Source organism: Homo sapiens, chromosome 18 (assembly GCF_000001405.40).
Source record: "Homo sapiens chromosome 18, GRCh38.p14 Primary Assembly".
Taxonomy (NCBI): Eukaryota; Metazoa; Chordata; class Mammalia; order Primates; family Hominidae; genus Homo; species Homo sapiens.
Window position 1 is genome coordinate 76,875,404 of NC_000018.10, and position 23,988 is coordinate 76,899,391.

Consider the following 23,988-nt stretch of genomic DNA (forward strand, 5'->3'; position numbering starts at 1 on the left):
TTTGGGTAACTTCAGTGTTGTTCTTTTCAATCCGTAAGATGCCCATACAATATGGAATTATATTTTGATCATTTTTCTCCCACTCTAGGTGAAAGGCCGTTCAAATGTAGTGAATGTGGAAAGGCTTTTAACCAGAAGGGGGCACTGCAGACCCACATGATCAAGCACACAGGTGAAAAACCCCATGCCTGTGCCTTCTGTCCTGCCGCCTTCTCTCAGAAAGGGAATCTTCAGTCGCACGTGCAGCGAGTCCACTCAGAGGTAAACACGGGTTGGGGGCATAAGCGGTATTTCACAGGGGACAGTAGGTATCTTTTGGGTTAATAAACGGACCTGAGAAATTCTTTTCCATTTAAAAAAATGCAGATTGATTTTGTGCCGAGCAGACCCTGTTTTAAAAAATACATACGTGGGAATTTTTTTGGTTTATTACATGTGGAAGAAATATAAACTACTATCTTTTTTGTCTTCTTGCTGACAGCATGGCTTTGGGGAATAAATATTTGAAAATAATCCTAATACCTTTGTTAGTTATAGTCTGTCATTCTAAATAATGTATTTCATCCCTTTAGCAAACTTGAAACACAGGCAAGTGTAAGAAATTAAAAGATAAGAAATAAAATTGGGAAAAAAAAGTGTTTTTCTTACTGCTAATACTACAGAGCTCATATGGTACATGTCCGTTCCCTCTTGGACAGAGGCCTGCTTTGTTCATTTCCTTCCATGCTGCTTGTCCAGTCTTTCGACTAAAATGATGATTTCCTGTGGTAATTTTCTGTTGTCTACAGAGCATACTGATGTGTAGATCCTGCAAGTATTTCTGTAAAGCAGGTCAACCTTTGCTCTAACTAACCATCGTGACTTATTGATTTATATTCTAATTGTAGAATACAAAGAAATATTTAAACAACACAAATACTTTTATCATGGATCAGTATATCCTATGGAATGATTTTGCAGAATGAAAACTATCATATTCTTGGGAGCAAATGTGTATCTCTTAATTTTTTACTTAGAATAATACCTTAACTAACACTGAAGTGAACTTAGAGTTAATACTCACTATCCAAATTTAATAAAAACAAGTAGAAGCTGTCTTTGATCTTAGATAAACAGAATGTCTAAAATGAAAAAGAGAATCTAAAATGAGAAAAAAACCCTGCACATCTCACGTAGTTTTATGAACAGATTCACAGTTCCATGTTCAATGAGTTAATCTTTTTAGTATCTAAGACCCAGAGACATTAGGAAGGCATGTCAGTGTTAGTGAGGTACTGAGGTTACCTTTAGATTTCGGAAGAATAAATTTGGGCTGTTGTAAGTCATTCTTGTGGTGTTGCCTCTGGGTGAAGATGATTGCATAGGAAGGATCGTCTATTTGTGTAGCACACAGAAATGCCTCACTGGAACCTTAGAGGAGCCTTGTGAGGTACTTGTCAGTACTCCTGAGTTTAGAAAACTCCCCCTATGCTAAAGGGCCCAGAGACTCACCTGTTGCCACTGAGAAGTGCTCTCGGACCTGCACTAGAATGGGTTGTTCCAGAAAGAGCCTCTAAAGATTGGTTCATAAATATTATCCAATTTTGTAAGAATCTAAATTTGGTTCTTAGAGAGGCACCAGAAACAGAATGGAAGTCTTACTCAAGTTCGGAAGGGGCCAATGGGTTTTCAAGCTAGCCTTCATAGTTCTACAGTAACTAACACTGGGTTTTAGTAATAGAGAAAGAATATTTTAGGTATTTTCTCTGTTCACAGCTGTTCTTACTCATTTTACTGGTTTCCATGGTTTCTGGATTTATCATAGCTTTAAAAATTAGTTGTTAGGCCAGGTGTGGTGGCTCACGTCTGTAATCCCAGCACTTTGGGAGGCTGAGGTGGGTGGATCACCTGAGGTCAGGAGTTCGAGACCAGCCTGGCCAACATGGCAAAACCCCATCTCTACTAAAATACAAAAATTAGCTGGGCACGATGGCAGGCGCCTGTAATCCCAGCTACTTGGGAGGCTGAGGCAGGAGAATCACTTGACCTGGGAGGTAGAGGTTGCAGTGAGCCGAGATCACGCTGTTGCACTCCAGCCTGGGCAACAGAGCATCTCAAAAAAAAAAAAGAAAAAAAGAAAATTAGTTGTTGATACAGAATATCAAAATTGATGAAAAGTTCATATATCATTATGACCATCTTTCCTAACCTCTGTGGTTTTGGCCATCTGAAAGCATATTTGGTGTAATATGTATTTATATATAACTGTCTGGCCTTTGCTATTGAACATTGTATTCAACTGTTTAAAAAACTGAGAATATCTTATGCCTGACAGTTTGTTTTTGTTAAATTACAATAATTGAAAAATGTGTTTTCTCACTCTTGAATAATTTCTATTTTATAGAAAAGACTGAAATTTCAATTCATCTTATACCGGCAATATTGTTTAAAGAGTAGGGTCATTGATTCTAGAACTATCTAATTTAAAAGAAAAAAGGTAATGTTGAAGGGTTAGATTATTTCTGTCATTTTGAATGGAATGGTAAATTATGATTTGCCATAATTTAGATGTTTAAATTTAACAATTAATTGTAAAACATCATTTTTTTCCTTTTTATTCTTTAAGGTCAAGAATGGTCCTACCTATAACTGTACAGAATGTAGTTGTGTATTTAAAAGTTTAGGCAGCTTAAACACGCATATCAGCAAGATGCATATGGGTGGGCCACAGAATTCAACAAGTTCTACAGAGACTGCTCATGTTTTAACGGTAAGTTTAGTAATTTGGAAGAACTTCTTTTTAAACTAAAATCTGTCATTTTAAATATGACCTTTACAATTGAATATTTAGTAGCAAAAAGGTGCTATGAAAATTTTTTATATGGAGAAAAGGTGCTACTTTTTAAAGAATTAAAGTCAATCTTTTAAAATTTGAGAATAATAATTAGATGACTGATTCAGACTGTCATCTGAACCTGTGAAAATAAGACAAACTGTAATCATTAATTTGTGAAATGATGATTTCTACAGTGTTATTGATGATTATTGAATATTCTTTAAATTATAATTTAAGAATTAATTATCCTTTGTAGGTAATATTTCTCTTTTCTTATGTGACAGTGATAATTTTTCCTAAGTCTTTGGACTTTTGAAACTAAATTATATTTTTCAGTACATGTAGTTAAAAATTGTATGACTCTAAATACATATGCCTACACACAGAGAGACACAGGTGCGCACACACACACACACACACAGGGACATACACCCACTCTTATTTTTTCTGTAGGCGTCTTTAGCTCAGTCTCATTTAGTTACTCGTACTGCACTACCCTCTCAACAGATTAATAAATGGTAAAATTTAAGCATCAACTATAGGTATCTTAATAGTAGTAGACATTAAATACGAAAGTGTCGGAAGTTTTAATGTATGCTTATGAATGCAGTTACTTGGTTGTATTATGTCAACAGCTGCCTCCTACCAGTATGGAAAATAAGTCTAATTAATACTTAGTTTTTAAACATTAGGTTTACCTTTAGTGTTTGTTTTTTCTTTTCTTTTTTCATAATATTTGCAGTGTGGGATGGTTCCTCAATATATTCTTGACCAGGTAGAATGTTGTAAAATGAATTATAAAGCTGGAGAATAGAGTCCAATAATTATGTCTTCAAAATTCTATTTTGGTCTGAATTTTTTTAAATACAATTTTTAACGTTGTGTAAATCAACCGAGTATTAGTTTTCATCATTTCCTTTGGCAATATGCAAATCAAAACATAGATGTAGTGAATAATCTAGAAAAATAGTCCAGATCATTTTAAACATTTATATTCTCAATAAAAAGAAATGTAATTATAGGGATTTAGAAACCTGGAATCTCCCTTATACTCTTACTTGGGCAGGTAAGAACATAGCAGTTTTTACAGACAATTTGGGCAGAAAGTACAGAGAGCTACCATATACTCCTCTTCTCTTGTGCTCAGTTTCCCACATTTCTGACATGGTGCATCGGTCGGGTACATTTGTTACAACTGGTGAACGAATGTGGATATATTATTATTAGTAACCAAAGTCCATAGTTTTTGTCAGGGTTTACTCTCAGAGTTGTCCATTCAACGGGTTTTGACAAAGGTAGAGTGTCCTGTCCACACCCTCACAGTGTCGTATGGGTAGTTTCCCTGCCATCCGTTTTCTTCTGGATGGGACATTTCGGATTCCCGAGCCCTGCAGGGGTGGGACTGGCTCTCTCTCCCATCACAGCCCTTTCCTCTGACTTAGGTTTTCTTGGCTGTAGCATTACAGCGCCTTTATTCCTCCAGTCTCCTTGCAGGAAGAATTTTTTCACAAATGTGTTGAATTATTTTGACTGCAGTGGTTTCTTTCCTACTTTTTAAATTTGTGTAACTTGATATTTTAAAAATTCCTTCACTTCAATTTTATGGGCTAACAGGAAGGTGAGGGTTCACGTGCTCAATCTGCCATCTTGAGTCTCTATGCTCACTGGAAAAAACTGTACAAAATTGCATTAGAACAATGTATTGAGTATATTAAGAGCCAATATCGTGCCAAACACCAGAATCAGTGAGGCATTATATTTAAAATTTATGTTTAGGATACTCTTAGATTTTAACACCCTTAAGGAGGGTATTGCCTGTTTTTTTTTTTTTAATTTTCCTTTTTAAATTGAAGAGCAAAATTGTATTTTTAATGAAAATGTTTCTGTGTTTCAGGCCACACTTTTTCAGACGTTACCTCTTCAACAGACGGAAGCCCAAGCCACGTCGGCCTCAAGCCAGCCGAGCTCCCAGGCGGTGAGCGACGTCATCCAGCAGCTCCTGGAGCTCTCAGAGCCGGCGCCGGTGGAGTCGGGGCAGTCCCCGCAGCCTGGGCAGCAGCTGAGCATCACAGTGGGCATCAACCAGGACATTTTACAGGTGAAGCACGCTTCCCTGCGGTGTGAGGCTTACGTGCTCGTGCTGGGTCAGAAACCAGGGATGATAATTGAGAATAAATCTGCAGGGCTTGTCAAAGTCAGGGTATCCTCATGAAAAATGTGCCTGAACCGAAAGAAATTAATATGCCTACTTAATTGCTTATGGACGGCGCAACATTCAAATGATTTATTCATCTATACATTAAAAAAAAAATCACAAACTTTTATTTTTTTTCCATAAGTGAACTTTACTTGAAAAGAACAGGCTTTTCCGAAGTTGTATCTATTTATGTTGACAGAGGTGGAAAAAGCGTTTTATTCTTTCTTGAGGTTCTGGTTTATGATTTGGAGACAGTCATGGGTGTTGACAATTCTGAGAGCGTTCATACTGCCTGGCCTTCTCTCGTGGGTGTGTGGGCAGCACCTGCACGTGTGGGAGAGGAGGGGGGCAGGAGCGCAGAGCCCCCAGCTTTCTAGTCCACCGTGACTTCACACTAACTCTTCACTCCTCCTGTCTCTCTGTTACTTGTTTAACCTTCCTCCTGTACCTTCATGGGGAAGAGCTGGCCAGGGGTATGAGGAATCTCAGGGTGTCGTTCTACAGCCGATACCTGAAAGTTAAACCCAGTGTAACTCAAAAGCCTTAAAATAGGGATTCCCAAGACTATTTAGAGACAACCAAAGTTGTGTGAGGTAAGATTTCTGAAAGTCAAATAAATTTTAATTCCCTTTAATTTAGAAATGTAAATGCTTATATTATTTTGGGTGGGAGCAAGATGTCATATCATCAGAAAGGACGTTACAGCCTCAAAGGGTTGGAAGCCTCACTTATAAGTGATGACTTGGAATTGTAGATTCTTATTTCTTGGAGTGGAATTAGAATTCTATAGGTAAAGCTTTTGACTGATTTTGGTAGGCAGAGTTGGGCCATCGTTACCTTCTAACCTTTTAGTTTTGTTCTGTCTTAGCAAGCCTTAGAAAACAGTGGGCTGTCTTCAATTCCAGCTGCAGCACATCCTAATGACTCCTGCCATGCCAAGACCTCTGCACCACACGCTCAAAACCCAGATGTTTCCAGCGTTTCAAATGAGCAGACGGACCCCACAGACGCAGAGCAAGAAAAAGAACAGGAAAGCCCGGAGAAACTGGATAAAAAAGAAAAAAAAATGATAAAGAAGAAGTCACCGTTTCTACCTGGTAATTTTCCTAAACTTTAAAGTTTGGACATTTGGGATAGCATATTGCTGGTTTTTAAGAAATGTGCCCTTCTTTTTTCCTCTGAAGGTGATAGGATATGTTTGTTGAATGTTTTGTAGCTAGCTGTAGTTGGTTGGTATTTAAAATTAAAAAGAATGACAGCCATAAAATGCCTGAAACTTATCACTTTTCTTTAACCTGGCTTCTTTCCTGTATTCAGTTTCTCCTGACTCCTCGCCAGGGCTTGAAAGCTTCTTGTCTCTGTCTGTTCTCTTGAAAGCTTGTTGTCTCCGACTGTTCTCTCTCTGCCCTGCTTAGGCGCCTCCTCTCCACTCAGATCCATGGCTTTGCTTCAGTTCTTCTCACCCTTGGTGCTTCTGGCATCCAGCCATGTGATTTTAGTAGCCTCTGACTAGTCCTTTCCTCTTCATCATCAAAGGACCCCTGCAGCACAGCTCCCTCCTCCACACCTCACCATTTCCCATTACACACCAAGATCCATTTCTTGGCTCCTGAGTATCCTGTCACCTGTCCCCTGCATTTCCATCCGCCCTCCCTCTGTGCTTCTAGGCACAAACTTATTAGACATCATACTGAAACTGGATTCCTGCTGTTTCTAGGCATCCCTGTGTTTCTGCACATCATGCTTTCTGCAGGCTTTCTGCAGCAAGGATGCCTTCCTTCTACCTCTTCCTCTGGTCTCCGTCAAATCTTGGCCGTCATTCAAGCATCTTCAGTGCTCCGTCATTCAAGCATCTTCAGTGCTCCTCCTCGTGGATGGACTCTGAGGGGTGCTTTTCCTTGTCCTACCTCCCACAGCACTTAGAGTGTTTAGGATTCCTGCGTTCTCTCATGTTAATTGTGCACAGATGCAGTCTAATATCCCTTCTAGGTAATAAGCTCTTTCTGGCCAGGAATACAGCCTTCTCATTTCTGAACACCCCACAGTGCTCAATATGGCTCTTTCTACAGGAGCAGGAATTTACTACATCTTTCTTGAAAAAGACAGATTCCTGTGTTTTTGGCAAAACTGTTCTGTGAAAACCTTTCCCAGTTGTCTTGGGGAACAAGTGCATTCTTGCTACAAAGCATGGAATAACATTGCCATTTCTGTTAACACTTCTTTCCTAGAATACATTTTCTCATGTATAACATGATTCTGAAGTTCTTGTTTCTCAAACCACACTAGTCAGGCTCTTCTTCCCCTTGATCTGGACTTCTTCTCCCCAAGGAAAGACAGGATGCTGGAATCTAAGCAGTTTCTCCCGCACAGTTTCCTGGTATCTGGCAGGGCAGGAAAGGAAAACAGGAGCCATTTCCGTATATTTCGATTAGCTGTGTGGTAGTCTTCCAGGTTACAGGTGTGTTTTGTATTCCTGAGAATCTGATGCAGATTTATTACCTCTGTGCGAGTGCCCGCCTGAGCCCCACGGGCTACTGTCTCTAGTCATTGTGCTAAATCGGATGCTTTCACATGGGCAGCAAGCCACTGAGTGAGGAGCCACGTCAGACCTTCTCCTTCCTGAGAGTACACATAGCCATGGTCCTTAGACCGAGAAGGTGAGCACCACCCCGTGCTGCTCCTTCCAGACCTTCACCCGCATGTGCTGGTGAAGCAGCTTTCTCCCTGCACCAAGTACTAGCCAGGGAATTCCACATGGAATTGCAAGAAACCTTCCTGTACGGTATTCTAGTTTGGGGTGCTGTGTTTACAGAGTTGGTAACAATTAGGTACTTTCTGGACTACTTGAATCAATCAAATACACATGTAGAGTACTGAGCAAGTGCATGCAGTTCTAATAATTTCCCATTACATTCATGGGATCCCTAGTACAAGTTGGAGCCAGTGCTTTTTTTTTTTTTTTTTTTTTTTTAAGTGACCTCTCTAATATGGTGATGAGAAAACCATTGGGGATTTTTATTTTTTTTGAGACTGGGTCTTGCTGTGTTGTCCAGGCTAGAGTACAGTGGTGCAATTATAGCTCACTGTAGCCTTGAACTCCTGGGCTCAAGCAATCCTCCTCCCTCGACCTCCTGAGTAGCTGGGACTGCAGGCATGTGCCACCACATATGGCTAGTGAAAAACACTTCTTTTTGTAGAGCTGAGGTCTTGCTATGTTGCCCAGGCTGGTCTTAAATTCCTGGCCTCAAGTGATCCTCTTGCCCCAGCCTCCCAAAATGCTGGGATTACAGGCATGAGCTACCACACTTAGCCTGGGGACACGTTTCTATATAAAGATGTTCCTTTTAATTAAAACTTTTCAATTACTAGTGTACTTTTAACATAGTGATTATATCTGAAAATACCTCTCCAAGGATGGAGTATCATTTGATATCTTAGAAAGACCATGAGGAAAACTATTCTTGTCTCGTAAGTCATAACATTAATTGCTTATAACTAACCTTCATTACGTTCCTAAGTTAAGCATACTCCGCCATGTAAAATTATTGCTTTTGATTTATTCACTTTTATCAGAGTGAATGTTTTCGGCGGGATTTGCTTGGTTTGAAGAAGTTATATTAAAAATTTAACAAATGCTTTTATAGTTATCATGCAACTTGTGACACATAAATCATTGTGAATTTTTAGTAAAGTTTGAAATTTATGACCAGGTGCAGTGGCTCGTGCCTGTAATCCCAGCACTTTGGGAGGCCGAGGTGGGTGGATCATGAGGTCAGGAGTTTGAGACCAGCCTGGACAACATGGTGAAACCCCGTCTCTATTAAAAATACAAAAAATTAGCTGGGTGTGGTAGCGGGCACCTGTAATCCCAGCTACTCAGGAGGCTGAGGCAGGATAATCGCTTGAACCCGGGAAGTGGAGTTTGCAGTGAGCCGAGATCATGCCATTGGACTCCAGCCCCGGCGACAGTGTGAGACTCCATCTCAAAAAAAAAAAAAAAGAAATTTATCGTGGTGAAATATTGCCTATCTAGAAATCATGGTGAATGGTGTTTTGGAAAGCTGATGATTGACTCCTTTAAGGATGAAAATGGTATGGTATAGTGAAACTATTGTGTGTGGAAACTTTTCTAAAAGTCCTTGCATACTTTACCTTCTTAGATCAGAGTGTGGTCTTGTTAACTTAGCCACTTCTTGATGACCTGGGGTCACTGCCGTGAACTTCGGTGTACTCTACTGGGCTGTAATTGGCTGGCATCCTACTGTCCTATTTCAGTCCACGGGCTCCAGGATGGTGTGGCTCTTAGACTCATCTGCTTTTTGAAATTATTATCTCTGCAAGTGTGCTTTTTAAACATTCACTGTAACAAACCTCCCACGTTCTTCTTTTGTTGTTTGTGGTCTGCCAAGTTCTTACAGCTCAGATAAATTTGATTTTTATAATTGCGTAAAAGCTAAGTGCAGGTAGCCTTTCTCCTTCTCCGTGGGGTCTGCATCCATGAGTGCAACCGACCTCATATCAGAAAATCCTCAGTAAGTGTACTGCAGTAAGCCCAAAGCAGTGTTAAAAATACTAGTGTGAATGGCACACAAAAATTGCTTTTTTCCCCCCTAAATTATTAACTGGAATTCTCATTGTGAAGTAGACCCAGGGAGATGCAGTCCTTAGGGTTCCCGCCCTGGAAGAGTACCTTTAAAGAATTCTCATAAAACTTTAGCCTCAGGCTGCTGAAGCACTTGACAAAAGTCCTAAATCATTCCTGGGGCGGCGTGCGAGGAGGGCAGGTTTCCTTGGTGAAGATGCTCAGTGCATCCTGGGCTGCATCGGAGATGCACTGTTCTCAGTGTCACTGTGTAACCACATAAGGCAGTACTGTTTGTGCATCTGCCAGGACAGAGATTTGTTTTCAAGGTTCTGGGAACCACATGGGGGCAATGCACTTATAAACAGGAGCAAGAAATCCCACAGTCCCTCCAAACCTCCCTGAGGTTCTCAACTTTGAAGGACAAAACCCGTTTCTGTGCACTTGGATCTGGATATTCAGCTGCTCCTGTGAGACAGTAACCAGCACTCATTCTCTGTTCTCTGTACCTTCACTCATTCCACTGCCTGTGACTGACAGAAGGGAGGCAAAGTAACTCCTCGGCAGCATCTGCCTTTCTCAGCAGCAGACTGGTTGTTTTCTTCTGCTGGTCAGAGCAATTCTTCAACAACTGCATGAGCAGAGGCATGAACATCTGTCGTAAAATGGGGATACCTGTGTCTTAGGCTTGGCTGTAATCTGCTTGATAAAAGGAATGAGTTCCTGGGGGTCTCTTCCTTCATAGTCTTTGAGCACATGTCTGAGCAGACAAGAGGAACAGAAGGACTTCTTCCTCCAGGCAAGTAATCATGCAATGAGGAAGAACATGGGACCTCTGCTTCTGAGCATATCCTTCTGTAAGGCACAGCTGAGGGCTGATGAGAATATCTGTAAACAGTTCAGAGCCTCTGAACAGCCACGCCATTCCCCAGTCTGCTCGCTGCTCTGGCAAGTCCAGCACCATGGTTGAAGCAGTCTGTTATAGATGCCTGCCTTTCTTCCCCTGCGGTCAGCATCAGTGTTCCTAACAGAAGTTTAAACTTTTCCATCAGTGGAGTCTACAGATTCCTCAATTAATGCTTGCTTCCTTTTTGATGGGTGTTTACTGTCAATAATTGGTATTCCGGCTGTCTTGTAAACAAATAGTTGATTATTGTTCTTCAGTAAGGACTGCTAACCATTCTCAGTGGAGAAAGCCCTGATAAGTCTTCTATTCTATTGAGAATATCCTCAGTGAAAGGATTCATTGTTTCTTGAGAGATCTGACAAATCTAAAGAACTGCCAAGCAGTTCCGCTGCACGCTTTTGCGCTACAGTGTTGCAGACCCCCTGTGATCTAAGAAAGCCATTAATACCCACGGAATGTGTTGAGATTCAGCAGTAAAGAACTTTCCTGTCTGACAAGTTCCGAAAAACTCATGTCACACATAAGAGCTAACTCCTGACATTACCAACGGCTGTGTCATATTTGCAGAGCACTAGCCATTGAACCAGCACCTGAGAAGGGGGCACCATGAGATCCTGGAAGAGCTTCTGTCAATTTCTATAGCAAGCCTGCTGCTCCTGCAGCTTCTGTAAACCGTGTAGCCTACCAGTGCTGTGGTGTCGAAATATAAACTGCGCAGGAGTCAGCAGTACCTTGGTGAAGCTTGAGCTAGCCGGTCCAACAGTAACTTCTGTTGTTTTTTATAGTTGACAAACATGGCTTCATCGTTACTCTCGTTTTCAAAGATAGGGTCTTCATCATAAGTTCCTTTGTGGCAACTGACATGATTGCCGCTGCACCGGCTTTCTGCTGATCTAAGATGTTTCAAAATCTGAACATAATCACAGCAAAAGCCAGTATCTTAGAGGAGGTCCCGTCATCAGGAGCTAGTCACCGCAGCGTCAGTGCCATCCTTGTTTCAGCAGCTTCTAGTGCCTCTTGAGCATTCTTGATATCCCCATTCTGAATTCACGTAGTCCAGCTAACTATCAGTGACTGTCTCTCTCCTGTGACCAGCTGAGAAAACCTGGCCAGGAAATCAACATCATCTTCGTGGTCAATGCTGAAAAACCCAGCAGACTGTAGTACTTGTTAAAAAGATTCTACTGGCTGGGCGCGGTGGCTCACAACTGTAATCCCCGCACTTTGGGAGGCCGAGGTGGGTGGATCTCCTGAGGTCAGGAGTTCGAGACCAGCCTGGCCAACATGGTGAAACCTGTCTCTACTAAAAATACGAAAATTAGCTGGGCATGATGATGCGCACCTGTAGTCCCACCTACTCGGGAAGCTGAGGAAGGAGAATGGCTTGAACCCAGGAGGCAGAGGTTGCAGTGAGCCGAGATCACACTACTGCACTCCAGCCTGGGTGACAGAGTGAGACTCCATGTCTAAATAAATAAATAAATAAATAAATAAAAAGATTCTACTAGCTCCATTTCATCAGCAGGGTCCGTTCCTCGATTTACAGTTTCAGATATCCAGTCACGTGCTTCTATTAACCCAGTCCTAGCAGCATATCTATAAACCTATCATTGGTTGAGGGCCAGGTTTATGTAAGAGGCTGTATTAGTCTGTTCTCATGCTTATAATAATGACATACCAGAGACTGGGTAATTTATAAAGGAAAGAGGTTTAATTGACTCATAGTTCCACATGGCTGGGGAGGCCTCACAATGATGGCAGAAGGTGAATAAGGAGCAAAGTCACATCTTACATGGCTACAGGCAAGAGAGACATGTACAGGGCAACTGCCCTTTATAAAACCATTAGGCCCCGTGAGACTTATTCAGTGTCAAGAGAACAGCACAGGAGAAACACACCCGCATGATTCAGTTACCTCCCACCAGGTCCCTCCCACGACATGTGGGGATTATTAGCATTCAAGGTGAGATTTGGGTGGGGACACAGAGCCAAACCATATCAGAGGCTTTTGTGTGAAGCCCCAAGACCCAGCACTGACCTGTTGCTTCTGATTTGTATAATGATTATTTGGTAAGATTTGCTGCCGTGGTTCCACCAGGTTTGAATGCACTGTTCCCAGTGTTCTAGTAGGTCTGCTACTGAGAGAGTGTTCAGAAAAAAAAAAAAAAAAAAGCATAAAAAACAAATGCCGGGCACAGTGGCTCACGCCTGTAATCCAGCACTTTGGGAGGCCGAGGCAGGTGGATCACAAGATCAGGAGATCGAGACCATCCTGGCTAAAATGGTGTAACCCCATCTCTGCAAAAAAATTAGCCGGGCATGGTGGCGGGTGCCTGTAGTCCCAGCTACTCAGGAGGCTGAGGCAGGAGAATGGCATGAACCCGGGAGGCGGAGCTTGCAGTGAGCCGAGATCATGCCACTGCACTCCAGCCTGGGCGACAGAGCGAGACTCCGTCTCAAAAACCAAACAAACAAACACTTAGGCTGTGCAGTGAGATATTCTGTAACAGAAGTCAAGAAGGTGAGTCAAGCTGTTGTATTTCACGTGAAGGTCTCCTGTGGCTGAGGAGTCTGCATTTGTGCGTGACGCTGAGATATCAGTCCCTCTCTAATTAGATGTTGGACAGTAGTTACTTCTGAATATTTGATGTTCTGGTCCTTGAAAGCAGAAAGACTTTGTGTCACCCTGACTGTCGTCTGGGCTAGAACTTCTGTGTGTACCTGTCAGGCGTCTGGGGGAATCTTTTGATGTTCCCAGCAGGCCAGGGTCCTTTGTTGGAACCAGCATTTGGATTTTGTCCCAAAAGAGCAGGCTATCCATCCCAGGTGCTCTACTTGGAGTTTTCTGATTACAGTAGGTGCTCTCCGATCCCACAGAAGAACCCACAGATGTTTCTCTGGTCACTGCATTCCCCCTGTCTGTCTCCCCTACCCATGTCTGGCCAGTGGTCTTCCTCTTTGGTCGTCCTTGTCCTCCTGACGGCCCAGCTAATGCTGGAGATAAAGCTGGCTGGGTGGTCTATGGCACCTTCTCTTGCATGGGAGCTAATTGAAGACTGAAGAGAACACGTCTAGGCTTTTTTCCTCTCCTGCCAAGAAACTTTCTGCAGCATGTAAGGCTTTCTGTAATTTAGCCCTGCCTGCACTTCTGACTCTTGCTAGTCCCACCAGGCATCCTGTACCCCAGCCATATTGAACTGGAGGTTTCTGGGACTCACCTTCACACCTGGCTTTTGCTGCTGCTTTTATCTGATAAATATACCTCAGGCCGTGTCCTTCTTGGCAAATATCTGCCTTCGAAGCTCACCGGCAGGGCCACCTTATTTCTGCAGAAGTTTCTGAGCCTCCTCCTATGGAAGTAATCAGCATTGTCTTTGCATTCCTGGTGTGCATCCATGCACACATCTGTCTTGGCACCTCTGATGCTCTGCCATACATGCTTGGTTACGCCATACATGCTTGGTTACACTGCCCTACCCGCTTCTCCCCTAGACCACAGTCCTTTCCAGGGCAGATACCTTTTGATGCCTGGCATGGTGCTTGGCACTTGTCATGCTGTGCTTGAAGTAGCACTGGGAAGACAGACCTCCTTGAGAAAACTGCACTTAGGCGCTAGGATCACGTGGACCTCACTGGCCATCTGGTCCTGGGCAAGTCAGTTAAGATGTCAACTTCTCATCTGTAAGGTGGGACTAAGGATAGAATAAATGGAAGATAAACGAATGGGAGGATCCATGTAAAGTGGATAGCATGGTGGTAGCTGACCAATAATAAGTGTTTAATGAATATATATGTTTTTAAATTATTTTTAAATAGGTGAAACATGCCCATGCCACACAATTCAAAAGACACAGTGGTGTCCACAGAACTTCTGTGAGGGGTCTTCTGCCACCCCTCCCCAGGGAAGCGCACCACTACTGTCTTCTGTGTCTTTTAAACAAGCACAGGCATCTGTGTGATTGTTTTCTAGGAGGATGAGTGGCTTCCTGCTAGAGGTATAATATAATGTGATGTTATTTTTTAGGTTACTTTTTTCCACTTGATATCTTATTTTTCAAAATGCTTGAATAGTGTTTCATTTTATGAATGTATCATAATCTAACCAATCTGCAGCCATTTGCTAACATGAATGATGCTGCAGTGGCCGTGTGTGTAGCTGCATCATTTCACACATGTACGTTTATCTGTAAGGACATTTCAGTTTAAAATAATTTCAGTCTTAGTGGAAATGTTTCAAAACAATACAAGGAATTCCCATATACCCTTCATCCATATTCCCCCAAATGTTAACATTTTACTACATTTGATTTCGCTGTTTAGCTATTTTTTTCCTGAATTTTCTGAGAGTGACTTGTAGATATAATGCCCTTTTAACTGTAAATATTTTTTAGTGTGTATTTCCTAAAATCAAGGACATCCTTGTACATAATCATAGTAAAGTCATCAATATCAGGAAATTAAAATTGACCCAGTACTATTGTCCACTGTACCGACCTTATTGAAATTTTATCATTGGTGTCAGTAACATACTTGATAACAAATGAAAAGGATTTTGTCAACAGTTACACTTTCCTTTGGTAAAAAGGAATAAGTTTTGATAAACAGTTATACTTTCATGTAGTCATGTAGATTTACCCTTCTAGGAGCAATTATTGGAGCACCTGTTTCCTCACAGCCTTTTCAAGAAATTATCAAAATTTGGGGATTTTTTTTACTCATCCAATGGGTTAGAAAATGGTGTCTTATTGTACGTTTAATTTGCATTTTTCTTACAAGGAGTAAGGTTGAAAGCTTTTCAAAAGAGTACCTATATTTTCCTATAAGACTAATTCTTGACTTCTTTTGTCCATATGGTATTAAAGATGATAGCATTTTGTGAGCTATATTTGTGGGATACAGTTTACTCCTAGACAACACAAATTTGAACTGCAAAGGTCCACTTATATGCAGGTTTTATCCTGCCTCTGCCACCCCAAGAGAGCAAGACCCCCGACTTCCTCAGCCTACTCAACATGTAGACAAAGAGAGGAAAACCACTTCCACTTAATGAATAGGAGATATATTTTCTCTTCTTTATGCTTTTCTTAATAACATTTTTTCTCTAGCTTTATTGTAAGATTATAGTGTATAATACATGTACAAAATATGTGTTACCTGTTGATGTTATTGGCAAGTCTTCTGGTCAACAGGAGGCTATTGACAGTTAAGTTTTTGGGGTATCTTATAGGCAGATTTTTAACTGCATCGGGGTCAGTGCCTCTAACCTCCGAGTTGTTCAAGGGTCAGTTGTACATTTTTTTCTAATTTGTTTGCCTTTTTGAGCTGAAAAACTTTTTTAACTGGGGAAATATTTATTTATATGTATAGCTAAGTTTGTCAATGTTTAATGACTTTAGGCTTGGGTGATATTTAGACTTCATCACTGACATTATGGAAAGATAACCTCTTCTCTTATATCTGACTTTTATAATTTAATAGGTTTTTTTTTTCGAGACAGGGTCTCTGTTGCCCAGGCTGCAGTGTGGTGCCACGATCATAGCTCACTGCAGCCTCGACCTCCCAGGCTCAAGTGATCCTACTGCTTCAGCCTCCTCAGTAGTTAGGACTATACGTGTGCACCACCACACCTAGTTAATTTTGTTATTTTTATTTTTGTAGAGACAGAGTCTTGCTCTGTTGCCCAGGGTGGTCTTGAACTCCTGGCCTGGAGCAATCCTCCTGCCTTGGCCTCCCAAAGTGCTGGTATTACAGTCATGAGCCACTATGCTTGTCCATAATTTAATGTTTTAAACTAAATCTTTGATTTAATTTTTTTTTTTTCAGGTGGCCACCCAGATGTGCAAACATCATTTGTCAAATAAGTCATGTTTTCCCAATTGAAATGTAATGCCACCTTGATCACACTCCCAAATCGATATATGTCTTTTCTGGACTGTTCTACTCCTCTAATCTGTCTTTTTATTCAAGTGTTCTGAGTGTACTTTGATAACTAGAAAGCCAGTCTTCTCTTGATACTCCTTTTTAAAAGTGTATTTTTCACTATTTTCACATATTTATTTTTCAGATGCACTTTAGAATCTTCTGCTAAAGTTCCAAAAACTTTAGTTCCAAAAAACAATCTTATTGGTATTTGTATACAGATGATAAATTAAACCAGGGAGAATTGATGTCTTTGTAACTTACAGTCTTTGTCCCAAAGAATAGGGTATGCATTTCCATTAATTTATCTTTTTTTTTTTTTTCTTTTTGAAATTTTCTTCTGGGTTTTTTTTTTTTTTTTTTTTTGTAAATAGGAAGCGTATTGATTTTCTTGTATTAAAACTTGGGTATCTTTCTGAGTTCTAGGTTTGTTAGATTATATGGTAATATCATTTGAAAATAATGACTGATGCTTCATTTCTAGTGTATACTGTATATTTCTTTATCTTGACTAATGTCATTGACTAGTATCTCTAGATCACAATAAATTAATGGCAGTGATAGTGGACTTTTCTCCCTGACTTTAATATATTTTTCTATTAAGTTGAATGTTATATTGAGATATGTTTTATTCACCTTTTCCTGTTTTTAGACCTTTTTTAAGACTAGATGTTGAGTTTTAGCAAATGTCTTTTCATGTTGAAGATGAGTATATATCCTTTACTTTTCTATATTTACTAATATATATATATAAACTTATTGAGATGGAATTTCGCTCTTGTTGCCCAGGCTGGAGTGCAATGGTGCAGTCTTGGCTCACCATAACCTCTGCCTCCCGGGTTCAAGTGATTCTCCTGCCTCAGCCTCCTGAGTAGCTGGGATTACAGGCATGTGCCACCACGCCCAGCAAATTTTGTATTTTTAGTAGAGACGGGGTTTCTCCATGTTGGTCAGGCTGGTTTTGAACTGCTGACTTCAGGTGATCCGCCCGCCTCGGCCTCCCAAAGTGCTGGGATTACAGGCGTGAGCCACCGCACCTGGACTTACTATTTGAAGAGGAAAGCTACTGCCCAACTCCAGGAAAGCTTGCCATGTGGGATTGCAGATCTAGCTTTCCGGATCTTTCCATTTGTCAGAGTTGGAAATCTGGATTCCATTTTCTTTTTTAACATTGTGTGGGTGAAACAAAACATATGCAGGCCAGATTTGGAGACAGCTTCAGGACTTCCAGTTCGTAGTCTCTGTTCTAGTCTATTCACAGATATTAGAACCTGGTGGCAGATTTAGATTATGTCATCCTGCGTAACTTGAGATATAGTTTTATTTTGGTTTGGAAAAAAATCTGATTTCTGGGGAATGGTGTCCTAATTTTTACTAGTAGATATTATAGTCTCTCATACCCTTTTTATACCTTGCATTTTTGATTTGTCATGATAAAGCCTTTAGGTAATTATGCACATTTGTGAATTAATTTTTACCTGTTAATTTTAAGCAGTCTTAAATTTTAGATGTCTTTATGCACTATCACCACAAAACAAATGTCTCACCTTTTAAAACCAGTTCCCTTATTTCCTTCTCCATTTTTACCCCCGTGATTTGTGTCTGTACCTTTCTTTGTTTTTATTTACATTCTGTCACTGTGTTTAAAAAATATATTATTTTTCATTCTTTTTTTCTACCTTTCTTTCCTTTTTTTCTTTTTGAGACAGGGTCTGGCTCTGTCGCCCAGGCTGGAGTGCAGTGGCACAGTTATAGCACACTGCAACTCCTATGTCCTGGGCTCAAGCCATCCTTCTACCTCAGCCTCCTGAGTAGCTGGAACCACAGGCATGCACCACCGCACCTGGCTAATTGTTTTAAAATTTTTTCTCAAGAGATGGAATTTTGCCATGTTGCCCAGGCTGATCTCAAACTACTGAGCTCAAGCTATCTGTCCGCCTTGGCCTCTCAGAGTGTTGGGATTACAGGCGTGAGCCACTGCGCCCGGCCCACCTTTCTTTTTTATGTGAATTATTCTTGCAAAGAATATTGTATTTGAGAAAATGGTTTCTATCTTTACAGATTTACTTGCATATATGGATAATTCCTTATGTTTAGTGATAAGAGAGAAGGAAACAGAAGGTTTTCTTTTTCCCTAAGAAAACTATGTTGGTACAGACACAGTTAAATAAATTTTAGTTAAAAGTGTTCTGGTGAAATTTCATTAATGTGGGAAATCTTTCTGATTTCATGTGGATTCTTTATGTGAGTTATCTATATAGTCACTGTAGATGCTACCTTAATTTCAGATGAATAAATCTAATCAAAAATTTTAAAAATAAGGTGATTCTAAGTTTTAGTTACCTGCATTCAACCAAATTCCCAAAAATATTAAATGGAAAATTCCAGAAATAAACAATTCATAAGCTGTAAATTTCTTACCATTTCACCTTCCACTGTCCTGCTCCATCCTGAGAGGGGTGAGGGAGACACGGGTCATCCCTTTGTCCCACGCACTCACGCTGCTGCATTCACCACTCAGTAGCTGGCTTGGTTCTCAGATGGAACCACTCGGGTCTTGGCAGTATTTCCTGCTGAAAACAGAGGGACAGGTGTACTTACTATATTTCCATCAATTTGTGATTTTTTTTCTATTAGAAATAGTTTTAAACTTGATTCAAAATTGAGTAATAATATGAGACAGATCCACTTATATTTTATCATGAATTGATATATACTATTTGTCTTAACTGTTTACCAATTTCCTTTTATAGCATATAGATTTACTGTTTCTTAATTATTTGCATTTATATTTTTTTAATTGGTGATATCCAGTAGGCCCAATAAATACTTATTCCAGTGTCATTCCTTCTCTTCTCGTTCCCTGCATTAAGCATGAGGTCATTCGATCCCATCTGCTTTTGTTCTCATTGAGAGGGAGCCAGCTGTGTCCTGGTGCCGCTGGACCTACCGAATCAATCACCCTGTCAGTGGGCGCTCTTTTTCAGAGACTGAATTGTGTTTTCCCCGACTGTTAGGGGTTTCAGCGAGATTAACTCCTAGCCCTCGATAATGTCAGTGATCCTGGGAATTCCAAGCTTTCCCATAACTGATCATGCGTGCAGCTTTCTGTGGGGACCACAGGGGGTCCTGGACCTGACCCTAGGCGGGGTGTCCAGGCCAAGCGGGACGTGTCCTCTCCCTTCACAGGCTCCATCCGCGAGGAGAACGGCGTGCGCTGGCATGTGTGTCCCTACTGCGCCAAGGAGTTCCGCAAGCCCAGCGACCTGGTCCGCCACATCCGCATCCACACCCACGAGAAGCCCTTCAAGTGCCCGCAGTGCTTCCGCGCCTTCGCCGTGAAGAGCACGCTGACAGCGCACATCAAGACGCACACCGGCATCAAGGCGTTCAAGTGCCAGTACTGCATGAAGAGCTTCTCCACCTCTGGCAGCCTCAAGGTGCACATTCGCCTGCACACAGGTATGGCCTCAGGGCTGGGCCCACACGGGCACTGGCCACGGGGGCCACACACATTACTGCGCACATATACCAAACACAGGTATGGCACACAGTAGGCACACAGGTACTGCACACAAGTACTGCTCACAGGGACTGCACAAAGTATCACACACAGTACTGCACGTAAGTGTGGCCCGCAATGCAGCACCCACACCGGTACTGCCCACAGGGACTGCACAAAGGTCTCAAACACAGATACCGCACACAGTACCCAACACAGCAATGTGCACAGGTACTGCACACGAGTACTGCCCACAGGGACTGCACACAGTACTGCACACAGGTACTGCACACAGTATGCAACAGGGCACTGTGCACAGGTACTGCACACAAGTACTGCCCACAGGGACTGCACACAGTACCCCACATAGTACTGAACACAGTACTGCTCACGGGTATGGCCCACAGTGCTGCACCCACACAGGCATTGCCCAAAAGTACCAAACACATAGTACTGCACATAGTACCCAGCACAGCACTTTGCACAGGTACTACTGCTCACAAATACTGCCCTCAGGGACTGCACACAGTATCACACACAGGTATGGCCCACAGTGCTGTACCCACACTGGTACTGCCCACAGAAACTGCACACAAGTATCAAAGGCAGGTACCAGACACAGTACCACACACAAGTATGGCCCGCAGTGCTGCAGCCACGTGGGCACTGGCCACAGGGACCGTACACAGTACCAAACACAGGTACTGCACATGGGTACTAAACTCAGTATCAAGCACAGTACCAAACACAGTACTAAATACAGGTACCGCACACAGTTACCAAACACTATACCACACGCAAGTACAGCTTGCAGTGCTGCACCCACACAGGCATTGCCCACAGGGACCACACGTGGTACCAAACACAGGTACTACACACAGGCACCAAATTCAGTATCAAACACAGTACCAAACACAGTACTAAATACAGGTACTGCACACAGGTACCAAACATAGTACCACACACAGGTACAGCCTGCCGTGCTGCACACACACAGGCATTGCCCACAGGGACCGCACACAGTACCAAACACAGGTACTGCACACAGGTACCAAACTCAGTATCGAACACAGTACCAAACACAGTACTACACACAAGTACCAAACACAATACTAAATACAGGTACCACACACAGGTACCACAGTACCACACACAAGTACAGCCTCAGTGCTGTACCCACACAGGCACTGCCCACAGGGACCACACACAGTGCCAAACACAGGTACTGCACACAGGTACCAAGCACAGTACTGCACACAAGTACTGCACACAGTACGAAACAGTACTGCACACAGGTGTCATGCACAGTGCCAAACACAGTACTGCACACAGTACACAAACAGAGTACTGCACACAGGTACAGCCTGCAGAGCTGCACTCACACAGGCACTGCCCACAGGGACCACACACAGTACCAAACACAGGTACCAAACACAGTACAGCACACAGGTACTGCATACAGGTATGGCCTGCAGTGCTGCACACAGGTACTGGCCACAGGGACCACACAGTACTGTGCATAGGTACTGCACACAGCTACTGCACATACTACCAAACACAGTACTGCATACAGTACCCAACACAGTACACACAAGTACTGCCCACAGGGACTGTATACAGCATCACATACAGTACTGCACACAGTACAACATACACAGTACTGCACTTAGGCATCAAACACAGTACTGCACACAGGTACCAAACAGTACTGCCCACAGGTACTGCACACAATACCCAACATGGTGCTGCAGACAGGTACTGCCCATAGGGACTGCACACAGTACTACACACAGTACTGCACTTAGGTACCAAACACAGTACCAAACATAGTACTGCACACAGGTACCAAACAGTACTGCCCACTGGTACCGCATAAAGTACCAAACATAGTACTGCACACAGGTACCAAACAGTACTGCCCACTGGTACCTCATATAGTACCAAACACAGTACTGCACACAGGTACCACATACAGTACCAAACAGTACTGCACACAGGCATCATGCATGCTACCAAACACAGTAATAAACAGTACTGCACACAAGTAGTACATAGAGTACCAAACACAGTACTGCGCTCAGGTACTGCATACAGTACTAAACACAGTACTACACACAAGTACTGCCCACAGGGACTGCATACCGTACCACACATAGTACTGTACATAGTACCACACACACAGTATTGCACTTAGGTACCAAACACAGTGCTGCACACAGGGACCAGTGCTGCCCACAGGTACTGCACACAGGTGCCACACACAGTACCAAACAGTACTGCACACAGGCATCATGCACAGTACCAAACACAGTACTGTACATAGGCACTGCCCATAGTACCAAACACAGTACTGCACACAAGTACTACATATAGTAACAAACACAGTACTAAACACAGTACCACACATGGTACCAAACACAGTGCCACACACAGGAACTGCCAATAGGTACTGCACACAGTACTGCACACAGGTGCTGAGAAGGGATTGAGTCACAGCACCTGGGGGAGCAATAATTGACTACTTGGAGGATATATTTCTGTCTTTTCATCAGCACTTGTTGAGTCTCTTCTATAGGCTGGGCATGAAGTATCTACAGGTAAAGAAAACAGATGCAACCTTGATCTCCATGGAGCTAAGGATATGCTGGGGGAGGCATTAAAAACAAGTAACACTTATAAATGAACGTAGAATTGCAGAGGGTGAAAAGAGACTTCTGTCCGGATCAGATTTGGATTTAGACTGAGTGAGCCTTTCTGAGAATACAACATGTAATCTGCATTTGATCTGAGAAGACCTGAAGGCTTTAGCTGGGCCAGGAGGAGGACCGGGGACCTGTTTGTACTGAGGCATGAAATCTTTCATTACGGAGCTCCATTTTTTTTAATGACATATTTATTGAGATGTAATTTACATATAATATTTACCATTTTAATGTGTACACTTCTGAATTGTGCACTCTACACCACTGTCTGATTTTGGAACATTTTTATCACCCTGCAAAGAAACCCTGTACTCATTGGCAATATCCCCCAAATTCCCTCAGGGATCCTCCTCTGGGCTGACAATGTGGATGAGTATTTGACAAAGCTGAAGTTACTCAATTTTGTTGTATGTGTTTCTTTGGAATTTACATTTTCATTTGCTGATAAAATTGTAAAACAAGGAAATATTCTTTAGAAGTGGGGCACAGTAGTAAGAGGATCATTAAGAAGATATTAGTACTATTATCATCATCATTTACAATCAGTGACAACTACCATTTACTGTTTATTTGCAAAATGTGAGACATTGCTAAGTGCTGTTTAAATGTTAGCTTACGTAATCTCAGCAGCAGCCCTGGAGGCAGGTGTCTTTAAGCCACTTTACAGGTGGTGACTTAAGAGAGAGAGCATCCTTACATACTGTAAAGTTCTGAAGAACTACTGTCCATATTTTACAATGTAAGACTTTGTCCTAAAAATACTAAATGTTCTTTTTTTACTTAAAATGCTCTTATAACATGCCTTAATATCTATAATATGCACTGTATACAAACAAGGGAAAATAATTTACAATATCCATTAAATTATAAGCATGGCCTAATAAATTGAAGGTTCAAATCAGTATTGGAAATAATAACATTTTATGTTAGCATTTGCTGTTGAGATGTAATTTCTGGAAATAATTCTAAAATGTGATTTCATTTTTATTAGGAGTTAGACCTTTTGCTTGTCCTCACTGTGACAAAAAATTTCGAACCTCAGGCCATAGGAAGACTCACATTGCTTCCCACTTTAAACATACGGAATTAAGGAAAATGAGGCACCAGCGTAAACCTGCAAAGGTCCGTGTTGGCAAGACGAATATTCCAGTCCCTGATATTCCTTTGCAGGAACCAATCCTCATAACTGACTTAGGTAAGATGGATTGTAGGGCGTCTTTATAATTTATTGAGTACTATTTTCTTTGACATTTTGTGAATTGTGTACACACATTATGGTCTCTGTAGTTAAATAGTTTTTTAGGCATAGTATTAATGAAGTCTGTGTTAAGCCTTGTTTTGCTTTATGGACTAGTATGTTTTAC

At 41.8% G+C, this 23,988-nt stretch overlaps 1 protein-coding gene and 1 pseudogene across 7 annotated transcripts in view; one reads left to right on the top strand and one right to left on the bottom strand.

Annotated features, from left to right (window-relative positions):
* Positions 1-23,988, top strand: part of ZNF236 (zinc finger protein 236) — a 150,345-nt gene that overhangs the window by 52,847 nt on the left and 73,510 nt on the right. For all 7 annotated transcript variants that reach the window (NM_001306089.2, XM_011526168.3, XM_011526169.4 and 4 more), the window contains 6 exons: positions 89-261; positions 2,606-2,749; positions 4,710-4,913; positions 5,881-6,109; positions 19,610-19,882; positions 23,616-23,819. In NM_001306089.2, the coding sequence (NP_001293018.1) occupies positions 89-261; positions 2,606-2,749; positions 4,710-4,913; positions 5,881-6,109; positions 19,610-19,882; positions 23,616-23,819 (1,227 nt within the window). The remainder of the gene's footprint in view (positions 1-88; positions 262-2,605; positions 2,750-4,709; positions 4,914-5,880; positions 6,110-19,609; positions 19,883-23,615; positions 23,820-23,988) is intronic.
* On the bottom strand, positions 9,532-11,687 carry XPOTP3 (XPOT pseudogene 3; annotated as a pseudogene).